We start from the raw sequence: 27,185 nt of genomic DNA on the forward strand, positions 1-27,185 counted from the left end.
GGGGGAAATTGCTCCCCGAAAAGACACACCAACCACAGGAAACAGAAATTGAACCGTTTATTAGCCTAGGTCTGGGTTTCAGGCATTGCGGAGGCACGTCTGGGGAGCTCTATGAGGGGAAACAAGCCCCTGACTGGCTCCTTGCCCCCCAAAGACCCGCTCCCCCAGGCTTTGCATTCACAAGAAATTACTCTGAGGCATGAGGTTTCCTTCCCCAAGGTGAGCTGCACCCCAGCTCTCCAGTGGGAGGATGGGCCAGCAATTCCAAAGGGGTCTGGGCAGGACCAGAGCTCCCCGACTTTGGCAGCTTCAACACAAACATGAGCAGACAGGACAGCATTCATTCTGGGGGAAATGTGACGAGGAGAGGAGGGTCACAGACATCACGCCTATGTGCACACGCGCGCGCGCACACACATACACACACACACACATAAATATACGTTTGTACCGTAACATCCCTTCCATTATCCACAGGTTTTTGTGAAGTCCTTCTGGGGGGTTAGGGGAGAGTGTCCCCAGGAAATGTCCCTAGCCACTGCCACCCCCATGCTCCATTCTATATAACTTGAAAGAAGAAGGCCGGGCACAGTGGCTCACGCCTGTAATCCCAGCAATTGGGGAGGCCGAGGCGGGCGGATCACTTGAGGTCAGGAGTTTGAGACCAGCCTGGCCAACGTAGTGAAACCCTGTCTCTACTAAAAATACAAAAATTAGCCAGACATGGTGGCAGGTGCCTGTAGTCCCAGCTACTCGAGAGGCTGAAGCAGGAGAATCGCTTGAACCCGGGAGGTGGAGGTGGCAGTGAACGGAGATTGAACCACTGCCACCTCAGCCTGGGTGACACAGTGAGACTCCATCTCAAAAACAAAACAAAAATCTTGAAACTGTCTCAAAAAAAAAATCTTGAAAGAAGACACAGCGGGGTTCTTGAAAGAAGACACAGAGAAGGCTCAAGGCTTCTCTCTGCCTTGCTCAGGAGACCTGGTACCTTAGCTGGGGCTGCAGGTGTGGAGCTGAGAATAGCTTGGGGGGTGGCTGTTTTTGAAAGGAGGGTGTCTGTGCAAATATCACACCCAGAATTTTCTCAAGTTGCGCCTTGCATCAAGAGTCCCAAAGTCCTCCCCAGCCACCCAAACTCGTTTTTCTCACTTTTGGTGATTATTCTGTGCCCCAAATAGTGCAACTGAGCAATGAGGTCTGAGAATGAGGAATGGACCTCAGCCGCCATCCCCTCCCCACCTCCAGCCGTGGTTTCCGGGCCTCAGAGAGACGGGGAGAAGTCGTCAAGTGGCAGCTGATGAAATTTGGGGAAGCTGTGGATTTGGGCTCTGGATGGTCAGAGAGGAGGCCTCTAGCTCCTCAGGACAGTGGTTCTGTAGTCGCACGAAGTTGCCCAGAGAAGGTGGCAGGAGGAATACATTCGAAAAGGAGAAATCGGTGCAGGACTAGGGGCCAGGGAAGAAAATGCAGAAATTCTTTGTACCGCCAGGTGAGGTGGCTTACGCCTGTAATCCCACACTTTGGGAGGCCAACACGGGCGGATCATGAGGTCAGGAGTTCGAGACCAGCCTGGCCAACATGGTGAAACCCCGTCTCTACTAAAAATACAAAAAAAAAAAAAATTACCTGGGCGTGGTGGTAGGCACCTGTAATCCCAGCTACTCAGGAGGCTCAGGCTGGAGAATCGCTTGAACCTGGGAGGTGGAGGTTGCAGTGAGCTGAGACCGTACCACTGCACTCTCCAGCCTGGGCAACAGAGCGAGACTTCATCTCAAAAAAAAAAAAAAAAAAAAAAAAAAAAAAAAAAAAAGCCGGGCACGGTGGCTCACGCCTGTAATCCCAGCACTTTGGGAGGCCGAGGCGGGCGGATCACGAGGTCAGGAGATCAAGACCATCCTGGCTAACACGGTGAAACCCCATCTCTACTAAAGGTACAAAAAATTAGCCAGGTGTGGTGGCAGGCGCCTATAGTCCCAGCTACTTGGGAGGCTGAGGCAGGAGAACGACATGAACCCAGGAGGCGGAGCTTGCGGTGAGCCGAGATCACGCCACTGCACTCCAGCCTGGGCAGCAGTGCAAGATTCCGTCTCAAAAAAAAAAAAAAATCCTTTGTACCAGGTGGTAAAGTGCTCCTGCCCTGAGCTCCCCTTAAATGCTGCCTGCCCTCACCCTGGCTCTTCACAGGTCCCCTGCCCTGGCCTCCCCAGGATCCAGTTCTAAAGGGGTCACACTAGCCACTGGACTGGCCCTCAGGACCGCACTGCAACACTGCTATGTGACTAGTCAGTGCCTTATCTGGCCTTTCCAGGTGTGAAATATTTGCAACATCACCCAGGTCTGTGGGGCGGGGGCATCTGGCTCAGTAGCCCCAAGTCTCTATCTGGGGTCACCCAGTGGCCTCTCCATGAACCCCTCTGCCCTGGCCTGGTTGTTGGTCCACCCCCACCCTCAGACCACCGTGTTGCCCTCCAGAAACGTGGGTGACGTGGGCATGTGCATGCCCCTCTCCAGGGAGCTGGAGCTGCGGAGTGGCAGGAGGTGGTGGCCCGGGGTCCCGCCCCGCCTCCGTCCTTGCACCCCCACCCCCGGCCTCCAGCACTGCAGCGGCCGAAGCACCTCCCGCCGCAGGTCCCGGCTGCGCCACGTGTAGATGACGGGGTTGAGCAGGGAATTCAGGGTGGAGACGGCGAAAAAGTAGTGGGCTTTGTAGAGGATCGGGCAGGAGTGGACGGGACAGGCATAGTCCAGAAGGAGGATGCTGAAGGCGGGCAGCCAGCAGACGATAAAGACGCCTAGCACGATGGTGACCGTCTTGAGCAGGGCTAGCGTCTGCGGGGCGGCCATGTCAGCGTGGCTTGAGCGGACCACGCAGTAGATGCGCACGTACAGGGCCACGATGGCCAACAGGATGATGGAGAAGATGGTCACCACGCACAGCACATAATGCTTGGCGTAGAGAGGCAGGACAGTGGAGCAGGCCTCGAGGTGGCCCAGGCAGTTCCAGCCAAGGATGGGCAGGCCACCGAGGACCAGCGAGATGAGCCACGAGGCCCCGATGAGCAGAAGCATGCGGCAGCTCTTGTCGCTGCCATACAGCTTGACCTTGGCAATGGCCACGTGGCGCTCAATGGCGATGGCCAGGAGGCTGAAGACAGAGGCCGAGAGCGTGATGAAGGCAGAGCCCTCCCGGGCAAACCACTGCACAGGCGTCAGCCTCAGCGTGACAGAGCCAGAGAGCAAGGTATTGGCTACGAAGGCCACGCCTGCCAGTAGATCGGAGGCGGCCAGGTTGCCCAGAAACAGGTACATTGCCGAGTGGAACTTGCTGTTTCGGGCCACCGCAATGAGCACCAGAAGGTTTTCCACCACAATGGCGCAACAGAGGATGACGATGAAGGCCGAGGCCACCTGGCGGGAGGTCGTCTCCTGCGTTTCCAGCGTCTCCTTGGTATAATTATAGTGTTCCTGGACCTTGTTGGGGTTCAGGTACTCCGAGTACAAGCTGCCCATGGTGGGGCTCAGAGGCCTGCTGGGGCCATGGGGCTTTCAGAACTGCAGAGAAGACAGACAGACAGACAGACAATAGGTCAGAGCTGTGGCTGCTACCTGGGCTCTGGCCTCGGATGGGCTGAGATTCAATTTCCTGCTCTGTTACTCTTCGAGGAAGGGCCACATGAATTCAGAATCATCATCATCCCCACTTACAGACGGGAAACCCAGAGAGATTAATTCACTTTCCTAAAGTCTCAAATTTAACCAGCGGCAGGGCCAGAGAGACTGGCTCTGCGGCCTCTATAAGCCCTAGGCTACGCTCTTTCTTATTTATTTTATTTATCTATATTTTAAAGACAAGGTCTTGCTCTGTCATTCAGGCTGGAGTGCAGTGGCGCAATCATAGCTCCCTGCAGCCTTGAACTCCTGGGCTCAAGTGATCCTCCCACCTCAGCCTCCCACCTCAGCTTCAGCTACAAGCACATGCCACCACGCCTGGCTAATTTTTTTTTTTTTTTTTTTTTTTTGAGATGGAGTCTCCCTCTGTTGCCAAGGCTGGAGTGCTGCGGCACGGTCTTGGCTCACTGCAACCTCCTCCTCCTGGGTTCAAGTGATTCTCCTGCCTCAGCTTCCTGAGTAGCTGGGATTACGGGCACCTGCCACCAGGCCCAGCTAATTTTTTTTTTATTTTTAGTAGAGACAGGGTTTCACCATGTTGGCCAGCATGGTCTCGAACTTCTGACCTCATGATCCGCCTGCCTCGGCCTCTCAAAGCGCTGGGATTACCAGTGTGAGCCACCGGGCCCAGCCGCCTGGCTAGTTTTTTTGTTTTTTAGAGATTGGGTCTCACTGTGTTGTCCAGGCTGGTCCTGAACTCCTGGCTTCAAGCAATTCTCCTCGGCCTCTCAAAGCAATGAGATTACAGGTATGAACCATGACATCTTGCCTCTTTTAATTTTCATTATTATTTTCTAGAGATAGGGTCTTGCTCTGTCACCCAGGCTGGAGTGCAGTGGCATGATCATAGCTCACAGTTGTCTCTACTCCTGGGCTCAAGTGATCCTCCTGCCTCAGTCTCCTGAGTAGCTACACGCTTTCAAAGGGAAAGAAGCTCCCCCAAATGGCATGAAAAATATAATGTGGACTTCCAGAAACCTTGCCCACCTACCCAGAGAGCAAGCCCTAGGCAGGTCCTGGAGGGTTTGTCTCTTTTCTGGAACACACAGGCGCCTGCGCCCTCATGCTGACCTGGGTCAGGGAGAGTCTCACCACTGATAGCTCCGTGCCCTGCTCATTCATTACCACCCACTAACGCTGGATTTCAGGCTGGGTCTAAGCCTTGAGGCCACGGGTGCTCCCAAGATAAGGTCTTGGGGAGACACCAGGGCGGCCCTGAGATTCAAACATCCCAGAGGTCACACCATCTTCAAGGACACAGACCTTGAAGGCAATCCAGAATTTGCTCCCATTCCACCTCTGAAACACTGGGCAAGTCCCTAGACGCTGTCTCAGCCTGAACCTCCTTATCTGTGCAATAGAGAGAAGAAAGCCCACTTCATGGGGGTGATGGGAAAATCCTTTTAAATGACGCATGAGGCACGTTTAGCTCATAGTAAGCACTCAACAAATACTGCCAAATGTTATTAGCTCCCCTCTTTCCTCCAGTCCTTTGGGAAGGGAAGGGATGTAAGCCAACCAGACGAGATCTCCAACAGCCTGTTCTCATCAGCACCATCTAGCTCTGCCCTGGGACAGAAGGTCCTGCCGGGATGGGCAGGGCGCTGGCACCCCCTCCCCAGCCAGGATGAAATCCAGATGTGAGGCCCCTGGAACAAACAGGGTGGAGTCCTCACTCTGCAGTCACATCCGGTGTGAGGAAGGCGGGATGTAGGGGGAGTCAGGATGGGAGAGACCCCATCTGGGAGGTCCTGGCTGGGAGGATGGGGCAGCTTTGCTGAAGTCATGTGAGCCGTGAAGGGGTGTGCAGCCCCGCCGGGAGGGGGTAAGGCATTTGTTCCATGAAAACCTGAGTCACCCCCCCAACCCCCTCCCATCCCTCCCCTCCACCCTCTTCCATCCCTCCCTCTACCCCCTCCCATCCCCCCCCATCGCCACCCACCAAGGAAAACTGAGCCGTGGTGGGAGGGGGCGGGGAGAGGCGCTCCTCGGCAGAGAGGATGAGAGGCAGACACCATGGCCTTCCCCCAGCTTGGGGGTAGGGTTAGGGGTTGTCAGAGGCGCCAGTGCAGTGTATGCCTTTCATGAAGGGAGAGGAAGTTCCAGCCTTAGCTAAATGGGAGGGAGGGGGGAGAGTAGGGGGAGTCCTCCTCAGGTCCCTAGAAACACGTCTGGCAAGGACTGTGTGCACCGTTCCAGAAAAGTCTGGTTAGGCCAGTTCTCCTGAGCCCAGGAGTGATGGAGGTTTCCGGAGTCACCCAGCCATCTCAGTCCCTGGCCGCCCCCTCCAAGGGGCATCCTGGCCCCTGGCTGGATAGAGGCAGCTGCTCCCCCAGGGCGGAGGGACATCCGTCCTAGTTTGGGAACAGACAAGGGCTTGTGCACGTCCCCGGGGACTGCTGCCCCTCCCAGATAGCCACACAGAGGCCCCTTGTTCCCTTGCTGGACGCAGCCCCGGGCATCTTGATGCCCTCTGCACGCTGCAGCCAGTCCCAGGCAGGCTTGGGCCCAGGCTGCGGCTGGATCAGACACAGCTGATGGGCCGGAAACAGCCCATGCTCTGATTGGCTCATTTTCAATCCAAGGGCACTGAGCAATTTGCCTATTGGCCCGGGCTTTCCATCTTCTGCCTCTGATTGGTCCAGTTGGGGGCGCTCTACGGCCAGCCCTACCGATGGGGTCCTTTATAGGCGACGGGAGCTCAGGCTTTCTGAGGATAGAGTTAATGCTATGTGGACGTCCCTAGGGGGAGTTTGAACCGCAGCCTGACCTCTGGGTCACCCCGACCAGACACCCCCAGGCTGCCCTGGCCTGCTGGGCCCCTCCTGGGGTTCATAAGTGAGAATCAAGGTCCCTTTCCAGGCCTGGGGAGCACGCTGTGCAGTGCAGCCGCCCCCTCTGCTGCTCACCAAGAGATTTGCTGTGGCTTCCTGGATAAATAAGAAATGTGTTTAGGCCGGGCGCAGTGGCTCATGCCTGTAATCCCAGCACTCTGGGAAGCCGAGGCGGGCCTATCACCTGAGATCATGAGTTCAAGACCAGCCTGGCCAACATGGTAAAACCCCCCTCTACTCAAAAAAAAAAAAAAAAAAAAAAAATTAGCCGGGCATGGTGGTGTGCGCCTGTGATCCCAGCTACTTGGGAGACTGAAGCAGGAGAATCGCTTGAACCCGGGAGGCAGAGGTTGCAGTGAGCCAAGATCGCAGCCATTGCACTCCAGCCTGGGTGACAGAGCGAGACTGTCTCAAAACAAAACAAAACAAAACAAAACAAAATGAAATGTGTTCAGCCCTTGCACCCCAGGGACTAACTAAGCAGTCTGTCTTTTTCCCTGAGAGGAAGACTGGGGGTGCTGCACTCTCACCTTCTGCAGCCCGGGGAGGCTAAGGCATTCACAGAGGGAGAAGCAGCTCTCCTAGAGAAGGGGAAACTGAGGCCCACATTCTATCCAAGACTCATCTTAACCACTAGGACTTTACTGAGGCAAGCACTTGGGCGGTTGACGCCTCCCAGAAAGAGGAAGCAGGGCACTGAGGTTGGAGCTGGCAGAAGAGTCACCCCCTAGGTGGATGGCGTGGCCTAGCCCATGTCCCCTCCCTGTGTAAGGTTACCAGGTTTTGAGAAGGACACAGAGCCTGTCTCCCGGTCACCTTCACCAAGTCTGCCCTGACTCCCTCTCAGAAGCTCAGAAAGAGGCCACTGGGCTCACATAGAATGTCCAGGCCTGAAATGGAACAGGAGGGACAAGTGATGGGGTTTGGAAGGAAGGGAAGAGAGATAGACTCAGACGACTGTTTGTCTGGAGATTAGGAGAGGGGAAGGATGGAGGAAGCCTCAGTGGCTTCCAAGGTCCTCTCCACCCACTCCCAGTTCCAGAAAGGCAGGCCCTGTGGTTACAGTTCCCCCTGGTCACCCATGGAGCCCGTGGTAGCCACCCTACCTTTTGGTTTCTCTGTGGTTGTCAGGACCCCCTACCCTGCCATTCTCTACCAAGCAGCCAGGGGGAGCTTTTAAACTTGTAACTCCATGTCACTCCCCAACTCCAAATTCTTCCATGGCTCCCTATAGCCCAAGTAGGATGGCCCCTGCCGATGAAGCCTCCTCCCACTCTTCCCCCAGGGCCATTCCACTCCAACCACACTAAACCTCCTCCATGCTACCCCTACCCCTACCTCCAAGCCTTTACCCCTGCTGTTCTTCTTGGGGCACACTCTTTTTCTCAAAAAAAAAATTTTTTTTTTTTGAGACAGAGTCTCACTCTGTTGCCCAGGCTAGAGTGCAGTGGTGTGATCTCGGCTCACCACAACCTCTGCCTCCTGAGTTCAAGCGATTCTCCTGCCTCAGCCTCCTGAGTAGCTGGGATTATAGGTGCCTACCACCACACCTGGCTAATTTTTGTATTTTTAGTAGAGATGGGGTTTCACCATGTTGGCCAGGCTGGTCTGGAACTCCTGACTTCAGGTGATTCACCTGCCTAAGCCTAGGAAAGTGCTGGGATTACAGGCGTGAGCCACCACGCCTGGCCTTTCCTCAAATCTTTGAATGACTGTCTCCCCATCTTTCAGAAAGGCAGGCCCTGTGGTTACAGTTCCCCCTGGTCACCCATGGAGCCCGTGGTAGCCACCCTACCTTATAGAAAGTGACCTTTCTATTTAAAGGTCACTTCCTCAGAGGGGACTCCCCTGACCCCCAGTCTACAATAGCAGCCATCTCCAAGCCTTTTCTAATCACAGAATCTCGTTTTATTATCTGCACAGCGCTTGCCACTATGGGAAACTATCATGATATCTTTCCTTTTCTGTCTGGCTTCCACCTAGACAGTCAATGCCTAAGGCCAGGGAGCAAGTCAGTTATCAGCCCCTACAGGGATGCCTGGCACAAATAAAACACTCAGAAAACGTGTGGAATGGGCAAATGAATGAATGAATGAATGAACCAATGAACAAAGGAGACCCTAGTGGGTTCCCAAGGGTGGAAACTCCTAAGCTCAGCCCAGACCCAAACAGCAACAAAGGAGCCTGGAGACACCTCTGGTCCGCGGGCAGCGCCCCCATCGCCCACCATCAACCAGGCAAAGCCCAGCGTGTCTCCATGGAGATGGCAGCAGGACCCGACCCCGTGCTGGCCCGCACTCTCGGCCTCCTTATCTGGTTTAGGAATGCGCGGTATCCACGCTCGCTCGCGCGGGAGCCACGCCTCCTCTCCCCCCCGCCCCCGAGACCGCCACACGCGCGGGGCCCCCACGTCTCCAAGCGGCACTGGAAGGATTCCTCTCCGTCCCGCCAGGGGTCCCGCCTCGAGATTCTGGGAAGACTGGGGGTGGGGGACCAGATCGCAGCAGCAGCTGCACCGCGAGTTCCGCGCCTGGCCGTGTCGCCCCACGAGGGGGACTGTGGGCTCAGCGCGTGGGGCCCGGAGCATCTGACAAGGACAGAGACAGAGGAGGGGGTGGAAATCCCCGGGTGAGTCAACCCGTGCCTGAGAAGGGGGCGAGTTCCGACGCTCCGCCCGGCTCGGGGCCACGCGAGGTCCGCGCCACGCGCGCCTTCACCCACGACCCATCCCTGAGCCGGAGTTGAAAGAGGAGGCGTCTGAGCCACGCAGTCACTTTCTCTTTCCTTACAAAACAAAGCCACGCCCCCCGCCGGGGGACCGGAGGAGGCAAACAACTTGGGGAAACCGAGGCAGAAAGCCCGACGTCCGACCGCCCTCCCCGTGGGTGCCGCCCCTTGGCTTGGAGGCTCCACGGCGCGCACATCCTTTTGCCCTCGCTCAGCCGGAGTCAGCCAGGAGGGGTGTTGCCCCCCCCCAAACACACTCCCCAAGACCCCGGTCCCCGAGCACGGCGTCCTGCCTCCCAAAGACTCCAGTCGAAAGCGCTCGGATTCAGCCTTCTCCCCGGCGCCAACTTCCTGCCGCTGAGAAAGGCGGGGAGCACAGTCTGCGGGTTCGCGGCCGAGGCAGTGGGGGCCGCCCGGATTCTTGGAGAGGGCGCACTGTGACCACCCGCTCCGTGCAGCAGGAACCCAGGCGGCGCGTGCGCGCCCCAGCCCCCCGATTGGGGCCCCTCAGCTCGGATCCCGAGACCTCAGGGGACCAGGCCCGCCTTTTCTGCCTCCTTGTCGCCACGCGCGCTCACCTGGCTAGGCCGGCCCGGCTCCCGGCCCTGGCCGGAGGGGCCTTGGCGTCTGCGTCCCCAGGGCGGCCGCGGCTGGGGCTGGGGTTGCCAGCCGGGCTCGGCTAAGTCCCGGGGCTGGGACGAGGGACAGAGGGGGGGGCGGAGAGCCGCCGCCTCTGCCCCCCGCTCGCCCCGCCCTCCTCTCCTCCCCTTTCCGGCGGCGGCTGCAATGAATTCCAGATGTGACCGGCCGGCTGGCCGGGGCGCACGCGGGGGCCGACAGGAGCTGCACGGAGGGCCCTTTGTCCGCCCCCCCCACCCGATCTCTCACTCTGCCCCTCCCAGCCCCCACCCGTGAGAACCGGCCGGCGCGAAACGTCACGCAGCCTGGTGACGTCACAGTACTCCTGGCCAGGTGGCCTCAACCTGAAACAACTGTCTTCAACCCCAGGTTACCTCTGGGCTTACCCCTGGGACCCTGGACTTGGAAGAAAACACGAGGTCACATTTATTGACTCAACAAAGAGCCTTGGAAGTACCTACTAGGTGTCAACGCAGCAAATAGGCATTAAGTGCCTACTGTGTGTCCACCCAACAAATAAATTCCTACTAAGTGCGATGTCCTGTCCCAAAGACAAAATTGATCTCTTTTTTTTTTTCTTTTTTTGAGACATGGTCTTGCTCTGTCATCCAGGCCAGAGTGTGGTGGCTCAATCATAGCTCACGGGAGCCTCAGCCTCCTGCCTCAGCCTCCAGAGTAGCTGGGACTACAGGTGCGCCATCATGCCTGGCTAATTTTTTGCAGTTTTTTGTAGAGATGGGGTCTCGCTGTGTTGCCCAGGCTGGTCTTGAACTGCTGCATTCAAGCAATCCTACTGCCTCAGCCTCCCAAAGTGCTGGAATGACAGGCGTGAGCCACTGTGCCTGACCAGTCTCTCCCTTGATAGGACCTCCAGAATTCAGGTGCTGCCCTGTTTCCCTTGGGGGACTGGGGACACTCCACACTCTTTCCTGCCTCTGTAGATCACTGTCCCCTCTGGCGGGGCCCAGTTTGTGCCTGCCTTCCAGCGTCGGGCCCAGTCTTCTATCCAGATTTCCAATTTTCACTAATTCCTGGGCATTTCTGTGTGCCTGCCTGCGGAAATGATGGACACTACACCTTCATCGAATGATGTGTGTGTGTGTGTGTGTGTGTGTGTGTGTGTGTGTGTGTGTAACCAGCAGTTCGACAACAGGATAGGAAAGCCCCTCATTCCAGCAACAAAATTTTTTTGTTTGAGACAGAGTCTTCCTTTATCTCCCAGGCTGGGGTGCAGTGGTGCCATCTCAGCTCACTGCAACCTCTGCCTCCCAGGTTCAAGCTATTCCTGTGCCTCAGCTTCACAAGTAGCTGGAAATACAGGCGCGTGCCACCACGCCTGGCTGATTTTTTTGTATTTTTAGTAAAGACAGGGTTTCACCATGTTGGCCAGGCTGGTCTCGAACTCGTGACCTCAAGTGATCCGCCTGCCTCGGCCTCCCCAAGTGCTGGGATTACAAATGTAAACCACAGCACCTGGCAACAAATATTTTTTATGCACCTACTGGGCACAGCAGTGAACAACAACAACAGCAACAAAAAGGAAAAACTCCTTGACCAGATGGATTTTTTTTTTTTTTTGAGACAGAGTCTAGCTCTGTCGCCAGGCTGGAATGTAGTGGCACTATCTCGGCTCACTGCAACCTCTGCCTCCCGGGTTCAAGCGATTCTTCTGCCTCAGCCTCCTGAGTAGCTGGGATTACAGGCATGCGCCACCATGCCCAGCTAATTTTTGTAGTTTTAGTAGAGATGGAGGTTTCACCATGTTGGCCAGGATGGTTTCGATCTCCTGACCTCATGATCTGCCCGCCTTGGCCTCCCAAAGTGCTGGGATTACAGGCATGAACAACCGTGCCTGGCCAACCCAGTGGATCTTATGTTCAGGTGGGAAATATGGCTTTTTATGAGGGTACCATTTGTGAAAATGTAGACATTATATGTTATAAACATAATCTGGCCAGGCACGGTGGCTCACGACTGTAATCCCAACAGTTTGGGAAGCCAAGGTGGGTGGATTGCTTGACCCTAGGAGTTCTAGATTAGCCTGGGCAACATGGTGTAACTCCATCTCTACAAAAAATATAAAAATTGGCTGGGCATGGTGGCTCACGCCTGTAATCCCAGCACTCTAGGACTCCAAGGTGGGTGGATCACTTGAGGTCAGGAGTTCGAGACCAGTCTGGCCAATATGGCAAAACCCTTTCTTTACTAAAAATACAAAAAATTAGCCGGGCGTGGTGGCGGGCGCCTGTAATCCCAGCTACTCGGGAGGCTGAGTTAGGAGAATCGCTTGAACCCGGGGAGGCGGGCGTTGCAGTGAGCCAACATGGTGCTATTGGACTTCAGCCTGGGCAACAGAGCAAGACTCCGTCTCAAAAAATAAAATAAAAATAAAGAGGCTGGGTGCAATGGCTCACACCTGTAACCCCAGCACTTTGGGAGGCAAAGGCAGGTGGATCACCTGAGGTCAGGAGTTCAAGACCAGGCTGGCCAACATGGCGAACCCCATCTGTACTAAAAGTACAAAAATTAGCCGGGAATGGTAGTGTGTGCCTGGAGTCCCAGCTACTCGGGAGGCTAAGGCAGGAGAATTGCTTGAACCCTGGAGGTAGAGGTTCCAGTGAGCCGAGATCATGCCATTGCACTCCAGCCTGGGTGACACAGCAATACTCCATTTTAAATAAATAAATAAATAAAACTAAATAAATAAATGGAGTAGTCTTGTGTGTACTGATGGGAAATGGTCTTCAACATATTAAGTTGAAAAAGTACAGTGTAGACCAGTATGCATTGCATTTCTGGGTGTATTTATAAGAACTATATAAATACACACACATTTGCCTGTGACACACAGTCTGTCTCTGGGAGAAGGCACCAGACCCTAGTCACAACAGTTACTCTTAGGGAGAGGAACCAGGGGGCAGGGAAACGAGGTAAGAAGAAACAGCTTTTCATGGTATACCCTGGAGGGCTGTTTGAAATCTTTTTTTTTTTTTTTTTTTTTTTTTTGAGACGAGGTATCTCCATATTGGCCAGGCTGGTCTCGAATTCCTGACCTCAGGTGATCCGCCTGCCTCAGCCTCCCAAAGTGCTGGGATTACAGGCATAAGCCACTGCGCCCAGCCTGCTGTTTGAAATCTTTAGCTTCTATTACCAATTCAAAAAAATGTACAAAGAGGTCGAGGCAAGGGGATCACCTGAATTCAGCAGTTCGAGACTAGCCTGACCAATATGGTGAAACCCCATCTCTATTAAAAATACCAAAATTATTGGGAGGCTGAGGCAGGCAGATCACGAGGTCAGGAGTTCAAGACCAGTCTGGCCAACATGGTGAAACCCGGTGTCTATTAAAAATACAAAAATTAGCTGGGCACAGTGGTGCACACCTGTAGTCCCAACTACTTGGGAGGCTGAGGCAGTAGAATCACTTGAACCCAGGAGGCGGAGGTTGCACTGAGCCGAGATCCCGCCACTGCATTCCAGCCTGGGCAACAGAGTGAGACTGCATCTCAAAAAAACAAAAAAACAAACAAAAAAAAACACAAAAAACTAGCCAGGCGTGGTAGCAGGTGCCTGTAGTCACAGCCACTCTGGAGGCTGGGGCAGGAGAACTGCTTGAACCCGGGAGGTGGAGGTTGCAGTGAGCCAAGATCGTGCCACTGCACTCCAGCCTAGGCGACAGAGTGAAACTCCATCTCAAAAAATATATTAAAAATTTTAAAAAATTGGTCATGGATAGTGGCTCATGTCTGTAATCCCAGCACTTTGAGAGGCCAAGGTGGGAAGACCAGTTGTGCCCAGGAGCTTGAGATCAGCCTGCGCAATATAGTGAGACTTCGTCTCTACAAAAGAAAAAACAAAAAATTAAACATTAGCCAAGCATGGTTGTGTGTGCCTGTAGTTCCAGCTACTCATGAGGCTGGGGTGGGAGGATCACTTGAGCCTGAGAGGTGGAGGTTGAAGTTAGCTGAAATCACACTGCTGCACTCCAGCCTAGTTGACAGAGCAAGACACTGTCTGGAAAAAAAAAAAATCAACAGGCCAAGCACGATAACTCACAACTGTAATCCTAGCACTTTGGGAGGCAGAGGCGGGAGGATTGCTTGAGGCCAGGAATCTGAGACCAGCCCAGGCAATATAGTAAGAGCCCATCTCAAAAAAAAAAAAAAAATCAACACGTTAATGCTACATATAGGCATGCAATATATGTGTGTATGTAACACAACATGTAATGCTCTGTGCTAAGCCTGGTGATGCCTAATTGGTTGCTGCCATCCAAAGCTGACAGTCTGATGGAGGAGACAGAGAAGAAACCAGACAATTATTTTTATTTATTTATTTATTTATTTATTTATTTTGAGACAGAGTCTCGCTCTGTCGCCAAGGCTGGAGTGCACTGGCAAGATCTCGGCTCGCTGCAACCTCCACCTCCCAGGTTCAAGCAATTCTCCTGCCTCAGCCTCCCAAGTATCTGGGATTACAGGCGCACACCACCACACCCGGCTAATTTTTGTATTTTCAGTAGAGATGGGGTTTCACCATGTTGGCCAGGCTGGTCTTGAACTCCTGACTTCAGGCGATCCACCTGCCTCAGCCTCCCAAAGTGCTGGGATTATAGGCGTGAGCCACCGTGCCCGGCCGAAACCAGACAATTCTAACACAGGGTGATGGGGCTTTGAAGGGGGGATACAAAGAAAGTCAGAAAGTGACTAGTCAATTCTACACTTTGCCCCTTTTCCTGAGCTCGATTTCAGGGTCTGCTGGGTTCTGGGCCAGATCTTGGGGCGCACTTGGACCTTGGCAAAACCTCACTGCCTCTTCTACCAAGTGAGAAGTGTTGCCTGGACACTCTAGAAACCAGGTGTTTAATCCGCAGAGGAGGAAGCACGAAGAAAATTAGGTTTTCTCCTCGTCTGAGAGCTATCAGAGCGGAAATCTCAGTCTTGTGTGGGGACCTGAAGGCTGGGGAGGAAGTGACCGCCCTCATATGCCTGGGCTGGCTCAGCAATTTGCAGTCTCTCCTGGGACCTGGGGGGTTGGGGCAGAGGGGTGATGTCAAGGCTGCAGACATATGTGGCCGTCTGCCAGGGGAACCGTGGCTCCCAGACAAAGGTGATGTCCCCGGGGACACACAGACACACCGACATGCAACTTCCGCCTCCCTCCCACTTCTGAGGCAACACAATGTCTTCGCCAGGTCAGCCAAGGGAGCGCTACAGAGGACTGGAAAACGCTGGAGGCCTGGACTTCCTGATGGTCTTGGTGGGGGTCAGGAGGAGAGCTTGGCCTACCCCGGTGGCGGGGGGCGGGGGGCTGAGTGAGAGAACAGTGGAGGAGGAAGGAAACAGGGCCCTTTTCTTGGAGAACTCCCAGCAGGGGAAATAGAGGAGAAGGAAGAGGCTTGAACTAGCTTCCACTAATTATAGGGTCAGTGACAATAATGGCTAACACTCACAGCCACCGACTGTGTGCTAGATGTGGCGCTGTGAGTCCTCACAACCCGAGGAAGTGGGTATTATGATAATCATCATCTTTTTTTTTTTTTTTTTTGAGATGGAGTCTCGCTCTGTCACTCAGGCTGGAGGGCAGTGGCGCGATCTCAGCTCACTGCAACCTCCGCCTTCCAGGTTCAAGGGATTCCCCTGCCTCAGCCTCCCGAGTAGCTGGGATTACAGGCGCCCGCCACCACACCTGGGTAATTTTTTGTATTTTTAGTAGAAACGGGGTTTCACTGTGTTAGCCAGGCTGGTCTAGAACTCCTGACCTAAGCTGATCTGCCCACCTCGGCCTCCCAAAGTGCTGGGATTACAGGCGTGAGCCACCGTGCCTGGCCTTTTTTTTTTTTTTTTTTTTTTGAGATGGAGTCTCGTTCTGTCTCCCAGGCTGGAGTGGCAGTGGCATGATCTTGGCTCACTGCAACCTCCGCCTCCTGGGTTCAAGCGATTCTCCTGCCTCAGCCTCCCAAGTAGCTGGGATTATAGGCCCGCGCCACCATGCCTGGCTAATCTTTATATTTTTAGTGGAGACAGGGCTTCACCATGTTGGCCAGGCTGATCTCAAACTCCTGACCTGAAGTAATCCATTCCATGTACCTTGGTCTTGGCCTCCCAAAGTGGCTCACACTCTTACAGGTGTGAGCCACTGTGCCCGGCCAATCCCATTTTAAAGAAGAGGAAAATTGACCAGGCGCGGTGGCTCACGCCTGTAATCCCAGCACTTTGGGAGATCAAGGTAGGCGGATCACCTGAGATCAGGAGTTAGAGACCAGTCTGGCCGACATGGCGAAACCCCATCTCTACTAAAAAGATAAAAATTAGCCAGGTATGGTGATGCGCACCTGTAACCCCAGCTACTCGAGAGGCTGAGGCACAAGAATTGCTTGCACCCGGGAGGCGGAGGTTGCAGTGAGCCAAGATCATGCCATTGCACTCCAGCCTAGGTGACAGAGCGAGACTCTATCTCAAAAAAAAAAAAAAAAAAAAAAAGAAGGAGGAAAATTGAGGCATACAGGAGAGGTGAGATTCGAACTAGAGCCATCCGGCTCCTCTCAATCCAGCAGCCCTGGCTGTCTGTCTTCTTATTCATTCGGAGTCTCCACCCCATTCCTGTGCCACCACCCCCATCTCTGCCCCAGCAGGTAGGAACAGACAGGCAGTGGTTACCAGCCAGGACTACATTGGTCAACAGTGAGATGTGGAATGTTCTCCATAATCCAGGAGAAGGGACGCCCTCTGACCCCCATTCCTACCTTCACCCCGGATATTGTGAACTCCCCCAAATCCAGGAGGCCCAGGCCCTTCACACCAGATCCTGTGGTTGCCCACCATGGCCCTGAAATCCATGAGACGCAGGCCTGTTCTCCATCCTCCCTGGGCCTCCACTGTCCCCCCACCCCCCTGGCTCTCGTCTCTGGCAGGAGGAACTGCCTGGGAAGTGTCTGAGATGGATCCCAACTTTCTCATCATCGCCCCAGCGCTGGGGGAAGGGGCCCCAGGCTACAGAGAAGCTTCCCAGATGCTGATCTTGGCAGGCATCAGGGAACTGCGGCAGCCTCATCTCCTCCATGGGCTCAGGGCCCACTTTCAGCTTCAGTGACGGGGTGGGGAGGCTCCCACTGGAGGCCAGCCTCTGCCACATCTGCACCAGAAGCAGTCTTGGCCCTTCGAGCTGGGGAAGGGGTGGGCTCTCTTCCCGCCAAAAGCAGGATGAACAATTAGGGGAAAGGGGAACCTCAAAAAGGCTAACTTCTCAGCAAGCCCCTCCCACCCCAGCATGCTCATGACAGCTGACATGTGTATAACGTGCCAGTTACTGCCCTAAGTGTTTTACAAATATTGACTCACTCTCAATAGCTCACAGCAGCTCCCTCAGCTAGAGAAAGGAGAGATAAACTGCAGTCCATCCTCACAATGGAAGACCATGCCTGTAATCTCAGCACTTTGGGAGGCTGAGGCGGGCGGATCGCCTGAGGTCAGGAGTTCGAGACTAGCCTGGACAACATGGCGAAACCCCATCTCTACTAAAAACGAAAAAATTAGCTGAGTTTGGTGGTACGCACCTGTAATCCCAGCTACTCAGGAGGCTGAGGCAGGAGAATTGCTTGAACCCAGGAGGTGGAGGTTGCAGTGAGCCGAGATTGCACCATTGCACTCCAGACTAGGTGACAAGAACAAATGAAACTCCATCTCAAAAAAAAAAAAAATCAAAAAGAAGGAATTGGTGATACCTAGCCACATGGAGAACTCTCAAATGTATTAGGATGAGGGAAAGAAGTTCAACGCAAAGGTTGCATATTGTATGACTCTATTTCTATAATGTTCTAGGAGAAAAAAAACTATAGGGACGGTGAAATATTGGGACAGGAGAGGTTGACTGCAAAAGGGCACGGTGGGACCGGGTACAGTGGCTCACCCCTGTAATCCCAGCACTTTCAGAGGCTGAGGTGAGAGAATTGCTGGAACCCAGGAGTTCGACACCATCCTGAGCGACAGAGCGAGACCCAGTCTCTACAAAAAAAAAAAAAAAAAAATGAGTCAGGTACAGTGGCACGTGCCTGTACTAGCTATTCCGGAGGCTGAGGCAGGAGGATTGCCTGAGCCCAGCAGTTTGACACCACTGTCACCTATGATCGCACCACTGCACTCCAGCCTGAGCAACAGAGTAAGACCAATGTCTTAAAAAAAAAAAAAAAGTTGGGGGGCATGGGGGGAATTTTTTTTTTTTTGGCGATGGAACCATTCTGCATCTTGATTGTGGTTTTGGTTACGTGACTATATATGTTTCTTGAAATGTGAACAACTGTATGCAAAAAAGGGAAGATTTTCTTTCTTTTGAGACAGAGTCTTGCTCTGTCGCCCAGGCTAGTATGCAGTGGCGCGATCCACTGCAACCTCTGCCTCCTGGGTTCAAGCGATTCTCCTGCCTCACCTTACAGGTGTCCACCACCACGCCTGGCTAATTTTTGTATTTTTAGTAGAGATGGGGTGTTACCATCTTGGCCAGGCTGGTCTCGAACTCCTGACCTTGTGATTCACCCGCCTCGGCCTCCTAAAGTGCTGGGATTACAGGCGTGAGCCACCACGCCCGGCCAGGAAGATTTTTATTGTATCTAAATTGTGCAAAAAAAGCAATACTTTTGTTTAAAAAATTCTCACAGCAGCCTTATTATTTGTGTGTTTGTTTATTTGTTTTCTTGATCTTAGCCAAAAGGCCGAGAAGCGATTTATTTATTTTTATTTTTTATCTTTTTTTTTTTTTTTTTCGAGACGGAATCTGGCTCTGTCGCCCAGGCTGGAGTGCAGTGGCGCAATCTTGGCTCACTGCAAGCTCCGCCTCCCAGGTTCACGCCATTCTCCTACCTCAGCCTCCCGAGTAGCTGGGACTACAGGCACCCGCCAGTACGCCGGGCTAATTTTTTGTATTTTTAGTAGAGACGGGGTTTCACCGTGTTAGCCAGGATGGTCTTGATCTCCTGACCTCGTGATCCACCCGCCTCGGCCTCCCAAAGTGCTGGGATAACAGGCGTGAGCCACCGTGCCCGGCCTAGTTTTTATCTTTTTAGAGATAAGGTCTTGCTCTGTCACCCAGGCTGGAGTGCAGTGGCGCAATCATAGCTCACTGTAGTCTCAAGCTGGTGAGTTCAAGCAATCTGCCTACTTCAGCCTACCCAGTAGCTGGGACTACAGGCCCAAGACACCAAGCCCAGCTAACTTTTACATTTTTTGTAGAGGGTTAGGTTGGTCTCACTATGTTGCCCAGGCTGGACCTGAACTCCTGGGCTCAAGCGATCCTCCCACCTTGGTCTCCCAAGGGCACTGAGATTACAAGAGTGAACCACTCTGCCTGGCCTCCGGACAGTAGCTTTACATCAGTGAGGGTCTAATCAGGAAAACAGAAGTATCTCCAATAGAGGGGATTTAATATATGGGTCAATTTAATACGTAGATAAAAAATCAAACGATGGCCAGGCGCGGTGTCTCATGCCTGTAATCCCAGCACTTTGGGAGGCTAAGGTGGACAAATCACGAGGTCAGGAGTTCGAGACCAGCCTGGCCAACATGGTGAAACCCGGTCTCTACTAAAAATACAAAAAATTAGCTGGGCATAGTGGCAGGAGCCTGTAATCCCAGCTACTTGGGAGGCTGAGGCAGGAGAATCGCTTGAACCCGGGAGGCGGAGGTTGCAGTGAGCGGAGATTGCACCACTGCACTCCAGCCTGGGTGAAAGAGTAAGACTTTGTCTAAAACAAAACAAAACAAAACAAAATGGATGGAGAGATTATTTTAAAATTAGCATAGGCCGGGCACAGTGGCTCATGCCTGTAATCCCAGCACTTTGGAAGGCCGAGGCGGGCGGATCACCTGAGGTCGGGAATTCGAGACCAGGCTGACCAACATGGAGAAACCGTGTCTCTACTAAAAATACAAAATTAGCCTGATGTGGCTGGGCGCAGTGGCTCATGCCTGTAATCCCAGCACTCTGGGAGGCCAAGGCAGGTGGATCATGAGGTCAGGAGATCGAGACCATCCTGGCTAACACGGTGAAACCCGTCACTACTAAAAATACAAAGAATTAGCCGGGCGTGGTGGCAGGCACCTGTAGTCCCAGCTACTCGGAAGGCTGAGGCAGGAGAATGGCGTGAACCCGGGAGGCGGAGCTTGCAGTGAGCCGAGATCACACCACTGCACTCCAGCCTGGGCGACAGAGTGAGACTCCGTCTCAAAAAAAAAAAAAAAAAAAAAGTAGCCGGGCATGCTGGCACATGCCTGTGATCCCAGCTACTAGGGAGGCTGAGGCAGGAGAATCGCTTGAACCCAGGAGGCGGAGGCTGCGGTGAGCCGAGATCGCACCATTGCACTCTAGCCTGGGCAATAAGAGCGAAACTCCATCTCAAAAAAAAAAAAAAAAATTAGCATAAACCAAGCATGGTGGTGTAGGCCTGTAGTCCCAGCCACTCGGGAGGCTGAGGCAGGAGGATCACTTGAGCCCAGGAGTTGGACTCCGGCCTGGGCAACATAGCCAAACCTCATCTCTTAAAAAATATAATAAAAATAAAGGATATGGCAGACCATGTAAAAAATTTAAATAGAAATTACCATATAGGAAGATGATATCTAATGGGAGGTGCTACCAGAGGCATATGGGGAGAAATATCTTGGGCTGGGTGCAGTGGTTCATGACTGTAATCCCAGCACTTTGAGAGGCCAAGGTGGGAGGATCACTTGAAGCCAGGGGTTTGAGACCAGCCTGGGTAATATAGGAGACCCCCATCTCTATTTTAAAAATCTTTAAAAAAAAAATCCATGTATGGTTGCACGCACCTGTGGTTCCAGCTACTCAGGAGGTTGAGGCAGAAGGATCACGTCAGCCCAGGAGGTCGAGGCTGCAGTGAGCTATGATTGTGCCACTGCACTACAGCCTGGGTGACAGAGTAAGACCCTATCCCTAGAAAAAAAGCAAAAAGAGGCCGGGTGCGGTGACTCACGCTTGTAATCCCAGCACTTTGGGCGGCTGAGGCAGGTGAATCACCTGAGGTCAGGAGTTCAAGACCAGTCTGACCAACATGGTGAAACCCCGTCTCTACTAAAAATACCAAATTAGCCGGGCATGGTGGTGCGTGCCTGTAATCCCAGCTACTTGGGAGGCTGAGGCGGGAGAATCACTTGAACCCAGGAGGTGGAGGTTGCAGTGAGCTGAGATCGTGCCATTGCACTCCAGCCTGGGCGACAAGAGCGAAACTCCGTCTCAAAAAAGAAAAGAAGAGAAAAGAAATATCTTGGCTTCTCCTACCTTCCTCTCGGAAAATCTGCCCCCAGTGCCTCCCATTGGCTAAATGTGGCCAGAAGCCAGTTGGCAGGGGAGATGTCCCGTGCAGAGGTCAGCCCCGAGCCATGCAGGGAGAACAGCACAGGGACTAGATGATGCCAGGGCTCGCAGGCTTAAGCCCTGCAAGAACCATGTGGGTAGGGGCAACTATACCCCCATTTTACAGAGGAGGAAACTGAGGCCTGGAGAGCCAATGTGACATGCCCAGGGTCTCAGGCCCTCAAGGAGGTTGGACTCTCTGGTTCTCGCCAACACCTGCCTGGAGGGCTAGTTCTGTGGCTTTTTTTCTACCCTTCACGCCTGTCCTGGTTGCTCAGGGAACTGTAGGGAATGAAAATATCCATGCAAATCAGCCCCACTGCGGGGAGGCCCTCCGTGGGAGGCTTTGCCCCCTCACGGAGCTTGGCAGTTACACACAAGCTGAGCTGAAAACAAACAAACAGCAGATGTTTGGACAGTTGATGGGGGAGGGGCGCTTTAGGCAGCTCTCCCTAGTATAGGAGACCACCCCTCACCCCCCACCAACAGATCTGTGTCATCCATCCATGCCCTGTACTTTTTTTTTTTTTTTTTTTGAGATGGAGTCTTGCTCTGTCACCCAGGCTGAAGTGCAGTGGCGCAATCTTGGCTCACTGCAACCTCTGCCTCCCGGGCTCAAGCAATTCTCGTCACTCAGCCTCCTGAGTAGCTGGAATTACAGGCGCCCGCCACCATGCCGGGCTAATTTTTGTATTTTTAGTAGAGACGGGGTTTCATCATGTTGGTCAGGTTGGTCTCAAACTCCTGACCTTAAATGATCCACCCTCCTCGGCTTCCCAAAGTGCTGATTACAGGCGTGAGCCATTACACCCAGCCAATCCCATTTTAAAGATGAAGAAAATTGACTGGGTGAGGTGGCTCAAGCCTGTAATCCCTACATTTTGGGAGGCTGAGTTGGGCGGATCACTTTAGCCACCGACCTCATGCTCTGTACCTTCTTTTTGGGGGGCTGCCCCCCAGTATTGCAGGCCTGACCCCTGGCCTTTGTGAGAACCCTTGTTCAGTAATGGAGGAAAAGCTGAGGCCAGATGTTGAGGGGCCTTCCCGCATCTGATATGTGCCCCCTAAATTGGTGTGATACCCACAGCCAGCAAAGACCCTCTCTGGATTACAGGGTTGATGCTGGTCCCACACTACCAAGGACAGAGGTCACCTGCAATTGAGCCTTTGATCCACAGGAGAGGGCTGGTTGCATTGGCCTTTGACCTCTCCCCAGGCTTGGCTCAAAATGGTCAAACTTTGAGCCTTTTGGTGTGAAGGTCCCCTGGTCGTTACTGCCCTTTTATTAAGACTCATAACTGGGGGCCGGACGCGGTGGCTCACGCTTGTAATCCCAGCACTTTGGGAGGCCAAGGCGGGCAGATCACTTGAGGCCAGGTGTTTGAGACCAGCCTGGACAACATGGTGAAACCGTGTCTCTACTAAAAATACAAAAAGGCAGGGTGCAGTGGCTCACGCCTGTAATCTCAGCACTTTGGGAGGCTGAGGCAGGCGGATCACGAGGTCAAGAGATCGATACCATCCTGGCCAACATGGTGAAACCTCGTCTCTACTAAAAATACGAAAATTAGCTGGGCGTGGTGGCGTGTGTCTGTAGTCCCAGCTGCTCAGGAGACTGAGGTAGGAGAATCACTTGAACCCAGGAGGCGGAGGTTGCAGTGAGCAGAGATCATGCCATTGCACTCCAGCCTGGACAACAAGAGTGAAACTCCGTCTCAAAAAAAAAAAAAAAGACTCATAATCAATATGCCAGTTGGGGAATGCTGTGTAAACTGGGGTAGGGACCAGGTGCAGTGGCTCATGCCTGTAATTCCAGCACTTTGGGAAGCCGAGGCTGGAGGACAGCTTGAGGCCAGGAATTTGAGACCAGCCTGGCCAGCACAGTGGGTCTCTGTCTCTACCAAAAATAAAACAAGTCAGCCCAGTGTGGTGGCATGTGCCTGTAGTCCCAGCTACTCAGGAGGCTGAGTGTGAGGATGGCTTGAGCCCAGGAGGTAAAGCTTGCAATGACCTATGATCCTGCCACTGCACTCCAGCCTGGGCGACAGACGGAGACTCTGCCTCTAAAAGATAAAAAATAAAAGCTGGAGTAGGAAGGGAAGGATAAGTTTAGATGCATTGTCACCTAAGAAGGTGGCATTTCAGTAAAGAGCCAAAGGAGATGAAAGAGTGAGACATACAGATATTCAGGGGAGGCTGGGCATGGTGTCTGAAGCTTGTAATCCCAGAATTTTGAGAGGCTAAAGTGGTGAATCACTAGAGGCCAGGAGTTGGAGACCAGCCTGGGCAGCATAGTGAGACTCCATCATGTTTTGTTTTGTTTTGTTTTGTTTTGTTCTGTTTTATTTGAGACAGTGTCTCACTGTCACCCAGGCTGGAATGCAGTGGCATAATCACAGCTCACTACAACCTCCGCCTCCCAGGTTCAAACAATTCTCCTGCCTCAGCCTCCCAAGTAGCTGGGATTATAGGCGCCTGCCACCACACCTGGCTAATTTTTGTATTTTTAGAGAGACAAGGTTTCACCACGTTGGCCAGGCTGGCCTCGAACTCCTGACCTCAAGTCATCTGCCCACCTCGGCCTCTCTAAGTGCTGGGATTACAGGTGTGAGCCACCACGCCTGGCCCTCAGCATGTTTTTTAAAAGAATAAAATAATAAAAGAAACAAAAATAGATATTAACGGGGAAATGGAATGTGATTGGTGGGTTCTGGGTTCTGGTGAGGAGGCCAGGGCGGCTAAAGCCATGGAGGAAGGGGAACAGGAGAATGGAAGGTTAGGGCAGGTCCTGCGGGGACTTGAGGGTTGCATGAGGACTTTGGTTTTAGTGCTAAGTGAAATGAAGGCACTGAGGGTTCTAAGCAGAAGAGGGAAGTGACCTGACTCAGATGTTTACAGCCTACCTCTAGGGGATGGGTAACAGATGATGAGGAGTGAGGGTGGAAGGAAGAATTCATTCTCAACACAGCCCCGTAGGGGAGGGTTTGTGTGTATTTCACTTACAGATTAGGAGGCCACAGCTCCCACTTGCCCAAGGCCATCCAGCCAATTAGTGGCAGTGCCTGGATTCAAACCAGTGTTACTGAATGAATAATCATGTATGGGCACCTTACGTGCCCAGTGACCTCAGGTGGACAGAGATTTGAGACCCAGGGACATAGGGAGAAAGTCCTCTGTTGTTAGCAATACCCCTGCAACAGGATGAACAAAGGAATTCACTCAGGAAACATTTATTAGCTGGGTGTGGTGGTGCATGCCTGTGGTCCCAGCTACTCGGGAGGCTGAGGCAGGAGGATTACTTGAGCCCGGGAGTTGCAGGCTGCAGTGAACTATGATCATGCCACTGCACTCCAGCCTAAGTGACAGAGTGAGACTCTGTCTCTAAAAAGAAAAACAAAAGAACTAAAGAAACATTTATTGAGCATGTACTGTGGTCCAGACACTATGCTGAGTGCTGAAGCTACAGCAGGTAATAGGATAGAGGAAAATTCCAGCCTTGGGTGAGTTTACATTCTAATGGGAGAGGCAGACAAAAAGCATTTTTAGCCAGGTGCAGTGGCTCACGCCTGTAATCCCAGCACTTTGGGAGGCCGAGGTGGGCAGATCACAAGGTCAGGAGTTTGAGACCAGCCTGGCCAACATGGTGAAACCCCATCTCTATTCAAAATACAAAAAAATTAGCCGAGTGTGGTGGCAGGCGCCTGTAATCCCAGCTACTTGGGAGGCTAAGGCAGGAGAATCGCTTGAACCTGGGAGATGGAGGTTGCAGTAAGCTGAGACTGTGCCATTGCACTCTAGCCTGGGCAACAAGAGCAAAACTCTGTCTCAAAAAAAAAAAAAAAAGAAGAAGAAGAAGATAACCATTAGGCCAGATGTGGTGGCTAACATCTGTAATCCCAGCACTTTGGGAGGCTAAGGCAGGAGAACTGCTGGAGCCGAGGAGTCTAAGACTAGCCTGGGCAATGTGGTGAGACCTCGTGTCTACAAATATATATATATTTTTAAATAGCCAGGTGTGGTAGCACACACGTGTAGTCCCAGCTACTCAAAAGACCAAGGTGGGAGGATCACTTGAGCCCCAGAGACAGAGGTTGCAGTGAACCAAGATCTCGACATTGCACTCCAGCCTGGGTGGCAGAGTGGAACACTGTCTCAAAAAAAAGAAGATAAATATTAATATAGGGCAAGAGAAGAGGGTCAGAAAGGTCAGAGGTGAAGATTTGCTTTTTTATTTTTTTGAGACAAAGTCTCGATCTGTCACCTGGGCTGGAGTGCAGTGGCGCAATCTCAGCTCACTGCAACCTCCGCCTCCCGGGTTCAAGTGATCCTCCCATCTTAGCCTCCTGAGAAGCTGGGACTACAGTCGCACACCAGCACAGAGGTTTCAGTGAGCTGAAATCACACCACTGCACTCCAGCCTGGGTGACAGAGTGAGACCCTGTCTCAAACAACAACAACAAAAACAAAGGAAGCATGCAGTGGGTAGTCCGAAAGGTTCAGCCACCTCTGCCCCCTGTCAGTCTTTCCTCACTCCTGGCCTCTGCGACTGCTGTTCTCTCAACCTGAAACAGACTTTCTCCTCTGGACAAAGTCCTCAAGCCTTAGCTCTCAGGCTACAGCTTCATAAGACCACCCCAAGACCCTGCCCCCGTGGTTGGGAATTCCTCCTGTGGACGCCCACAGACCCTGTAGACTCCCCTCCTGAACTCTGATCCTTCAGGCCTCTGCATTGGACTGTGAATATTTCAAAAGTGTTTGCTGGATTTACTGGTGTACCAGTGGTGCACAGTAGGTGCCTAATAAATCACTAAGAAACTAAGCCAGGCGGCCTAGTGTGGTGGCTCACGCCTGTAATCCCAGCACTTTGGGAGGCTGAGGCAGGCGGATCATTTGAGGTCAGGAGTTCGAGACCAGCCTGGCCAATATGGCAAAACCCCATCTCTACTAAAAATACAAAAATTAGCTGGGCGTGGTGGTGTCTGCCTGTAATCCCAGCTACTCAGGAGGTTGAGGCAGGAGAATTACTTGAACCCAGGAGGTGGAGGAGGTTACAGTGAGCCGGGATCGCACCACTGCATTCTAGCCTGGGTGACAGAATGAGACTGTGTCTCAAAAAAAAAAAAAAAAAACAAAAGGCACAGGGCATGGATGGATGATACAGATCTGTTGTGGGGGATGAGGGGTGGAATCACAAGGTCAGGAGTTTGAGACCATCCTGGCTAACATGGTGAAACCGTCTCTACTAAAAATACAAAAATTAGCCAGGCGTGGTGGCGGGCACCTGTAGTCCCAGCTACTCAGGAGGCTGAGGTGGGAGAATGGCGTGAACCTGGGAGGCGGAGCTTGCAGTGAGCCAAGATCACGCCACTGCACTCCAGCCTGGGCGACAGAGCGAGACTCCGTCTCAAAAAAAAAAAAAAAAAAAAAAAAGCCAGGCGAGGTGACTCACACCCATAATCGCAGCACTTTGGGAGGCCAAGGCGGGCAGATCGCTTGAGCCCAGAAGTTTGAGATCTGCCTGGGCAACACGGCGAGACCCTGTCTCTATGAAACAAGAAAAAAGAAAGAAACGAAATACTGTTCCATCATTTGCCACATAAAATCTAAACTCTCTGGTGCAGAACAGACTTGCAAATCTGCCTGTAAAATCATACACCGGATTTTGGAGTAGACACACAGGAGGCTGATTGTAGTGGTGGCTTCTGGGAGAAGAACTGGGGGGTAGGGGGCACAGATAAGAGTAGACAGAATTTTCACTCTAGTAATCTTTGTAATTTTTGAAATTCTCTCTACCAGGTGTATGAATGACCAATGAAAATATACAATAGGCCAGGCGCAGTGGCTCACGCCTATAATCCCAGCACTTTGGGAGGCTGAGGCGGGTGGATCACATGAGGTCAGGAGTCCGAGGCCAGCCTGACCAACATGGTGAAACCTTGTCTCTACGAAAAA

At 52.8% G+C, this 27,185-nt stretch overlaps 1 protein-coding gene and 1 non-coding gene across 2 annotated transcripts, besides 11 other annotated features; one reads left to right on the forward strand and one right to left on the reverse strand.

Moving 5' to 3' along the window:
* On the reverse strand, positions 41–9,939 carry S1PR2 (sphingosine-1-phosphate receptor 2). Its single transcript, NM_004230.4, has 2 exons — positions 9,812–9,939; positions 41–3,555 (listed from the first exon to the last, which is right to left on the reverse strand). The coding sequence occupies exon 2, from the start codon at positions 3,511–3,513 to the stop codon at positions 2,452–2,454; it is 1,062 nt and encodes a 353-aa protein (NP_004221.3). The 5' UTR covers positions 3,514–3,555; positions 9,812–9,939; the 3' UTR covers positions 41–2,451.
* Positions 8,434–8,483: an enhancer, noted in NCBI's record as "active region_13944". NCBI's record gives its function as "activates an Ori minimal core promoter by ATAC-STARR-seq in GM12878 lymphoblastoid cells {active_cell/tissue: GM12878}" and the evidence as "EXISTENCE:reporter gene assay evidence [ECO:0000049][PMID:35858748]".
* Positions 8,564–8,643: an enhancer, noted in NCBI's record as "active region_13945". NCBI's record gives its function as "activates an Ori minimal core promoter by ATAC-STARR-seq in GM12878 lymphoblastoid cells {active_cell/tissue: GM12878}" and the evidence as "EXISTENCE:reporter gene assay evidence [ECO:0000049][PMID:35858748]".
* Positions 8,564–9,297: a biological region, named in NCBI's record as "H3K27ac-H3K4me1 hESC enhancer GRCh37_chr19:10340651-10341365".
* Positions 8,583–9,297: an enhancer, noted in NCBI's record as "H3K27ac-H3K4me1 hESC enhancer chr19:10340651-10341365 (GRCh37/hg19 assembly coordinates)". NCBI's record gives its function as "activates a minimal SCP1, AML or CMV promoter by ChIP-STARR-seq in naive H9 embryonic stem cells {active_cell/tissue: H9 hESC(naive)}" and the evidence as "EXISTENCE:reporter gene assay evidence [ECO:0000049][PMID:30033119]".
* Positions 8,824–8,873: a silencer, noted in NCBI's record as "silent region_10058". NCBI's record gives its function as "represses an Ori minimal core promoter by ATAC-STARR-seq in GM12878 lymphoblastoid cells {active_cell/tissue: GM12878}" and the evidence as "EXISTENCE:reporter gene assay evidence [ECO:0000049][PMID:35858748]".
* MIR4322 (microRNA 4322) lies at positions 9,021–9,093 on the forward strand. The gene has a single exon (NR_036206.1). It is a non-coding gene; the product is annotated as a microRNA 4322 (primary transcript).
* Positions 9,584–10,243: a silencer, noted in NCBI's record as "silent region_10059". NCBI's record gives its function as "represses an Ori minimal core promoter by ATAC-STARR-seq in GM12878 lymphoblastoid cells {active_cell/tissue: GM12878}" and the evidence as "EXISTENCE:reporter gene assay evidence [ECO:0000049][PMID:35858748]".
* Positions 10,444–10,493: an enhancer, noted in NCBI's record as "active region_13946". NCBI's record gives its function as "activates an Ori minimal core promoter by ATAC-STARR-seq in GM12878 lymphoblastoid cells {active_cell/tissue: GM12878}" and the evidence as "EXISTENCE:reporter gene assay evidence [ECO:0000049][PMID:35858748]".
* Positions 15,050–15,119: an enhancer, noted in NCBI's record as "active region_13947". NCBI's record gives its function as "activates an Ori minimal core promoter by ATAC-STARR-seq in GM12878 lymphoblastoid cells {active_cell/tissue: GM12878}" and the evidence as "EXISTENCE:reporter gene assay evidence [ECO:0000049][PMID:35858748]".
* Positions 17,041–17,335: a silencer, noted in NCBI's record as "tiled region #3154; HepG2 Repressive DNase matched - State 8:EnhW". NCBI's record gives its function as "represses a minimal TATA promoter and a strong SV40 promoter by Sharpr-MPRA in HepG2 cells {active_cell/tissue: HepG2}" and the evidence as "EXISTENCE:reporter gene assay evidence [ECO:0000049][PMID:27701403]".
* Positions 17,144–17,333: a silencer, noted in NCBI's record as "fragment chr19:10349212-10349401 (GRCh37/hg19 assembly coordinates)". NCBI's record gives its function as "represses an EF-1alpha promoter that drives an FKBP-Casp9 reporter gene in an ReSE screen in HepG2 liver carcinoma cells {active_cell/tissue: HepG2}" and the evidence as "EXISTENCE:reporter gene assay evidence [ECO:0000049][PMID:32094911]".
* Positions 21,220–21,299: an enhancer, noted in NCBI's record as "active region_13948". NCBI's record gives its function as "activates an Ori minimal core promoter by ATAC-STARR-seq in GM12878 lymphoblastoid cells {active_cell/tissue: GM12878}" and the evidence as "EXISTENCE:reporter gene assay evidence [ECO:0000049][PMID:35858748]".

This window comes from Homo sapiens, chromosome 19 (genome assembly GCF_000001405.40).
Source record: "Homo sapiens chromosome 19, GRCh38.p14 Primary Assembly".
Taxonomy (NCBI): Eukaryota; Metazoa; Chordata; class Mammalia; order Primates; family Hominidae; genus Homo; species Homo sapiens.

Excerpts from the sequence above, each read along its gene's own strand:
- S1PR2 (NM_004230.4), bottom strand. The coding sequence starts at position 3,513 with ATGGGCAGCTTGTACTCGGAGTACCTGAACCCCAACAAGGTCCAGGAA.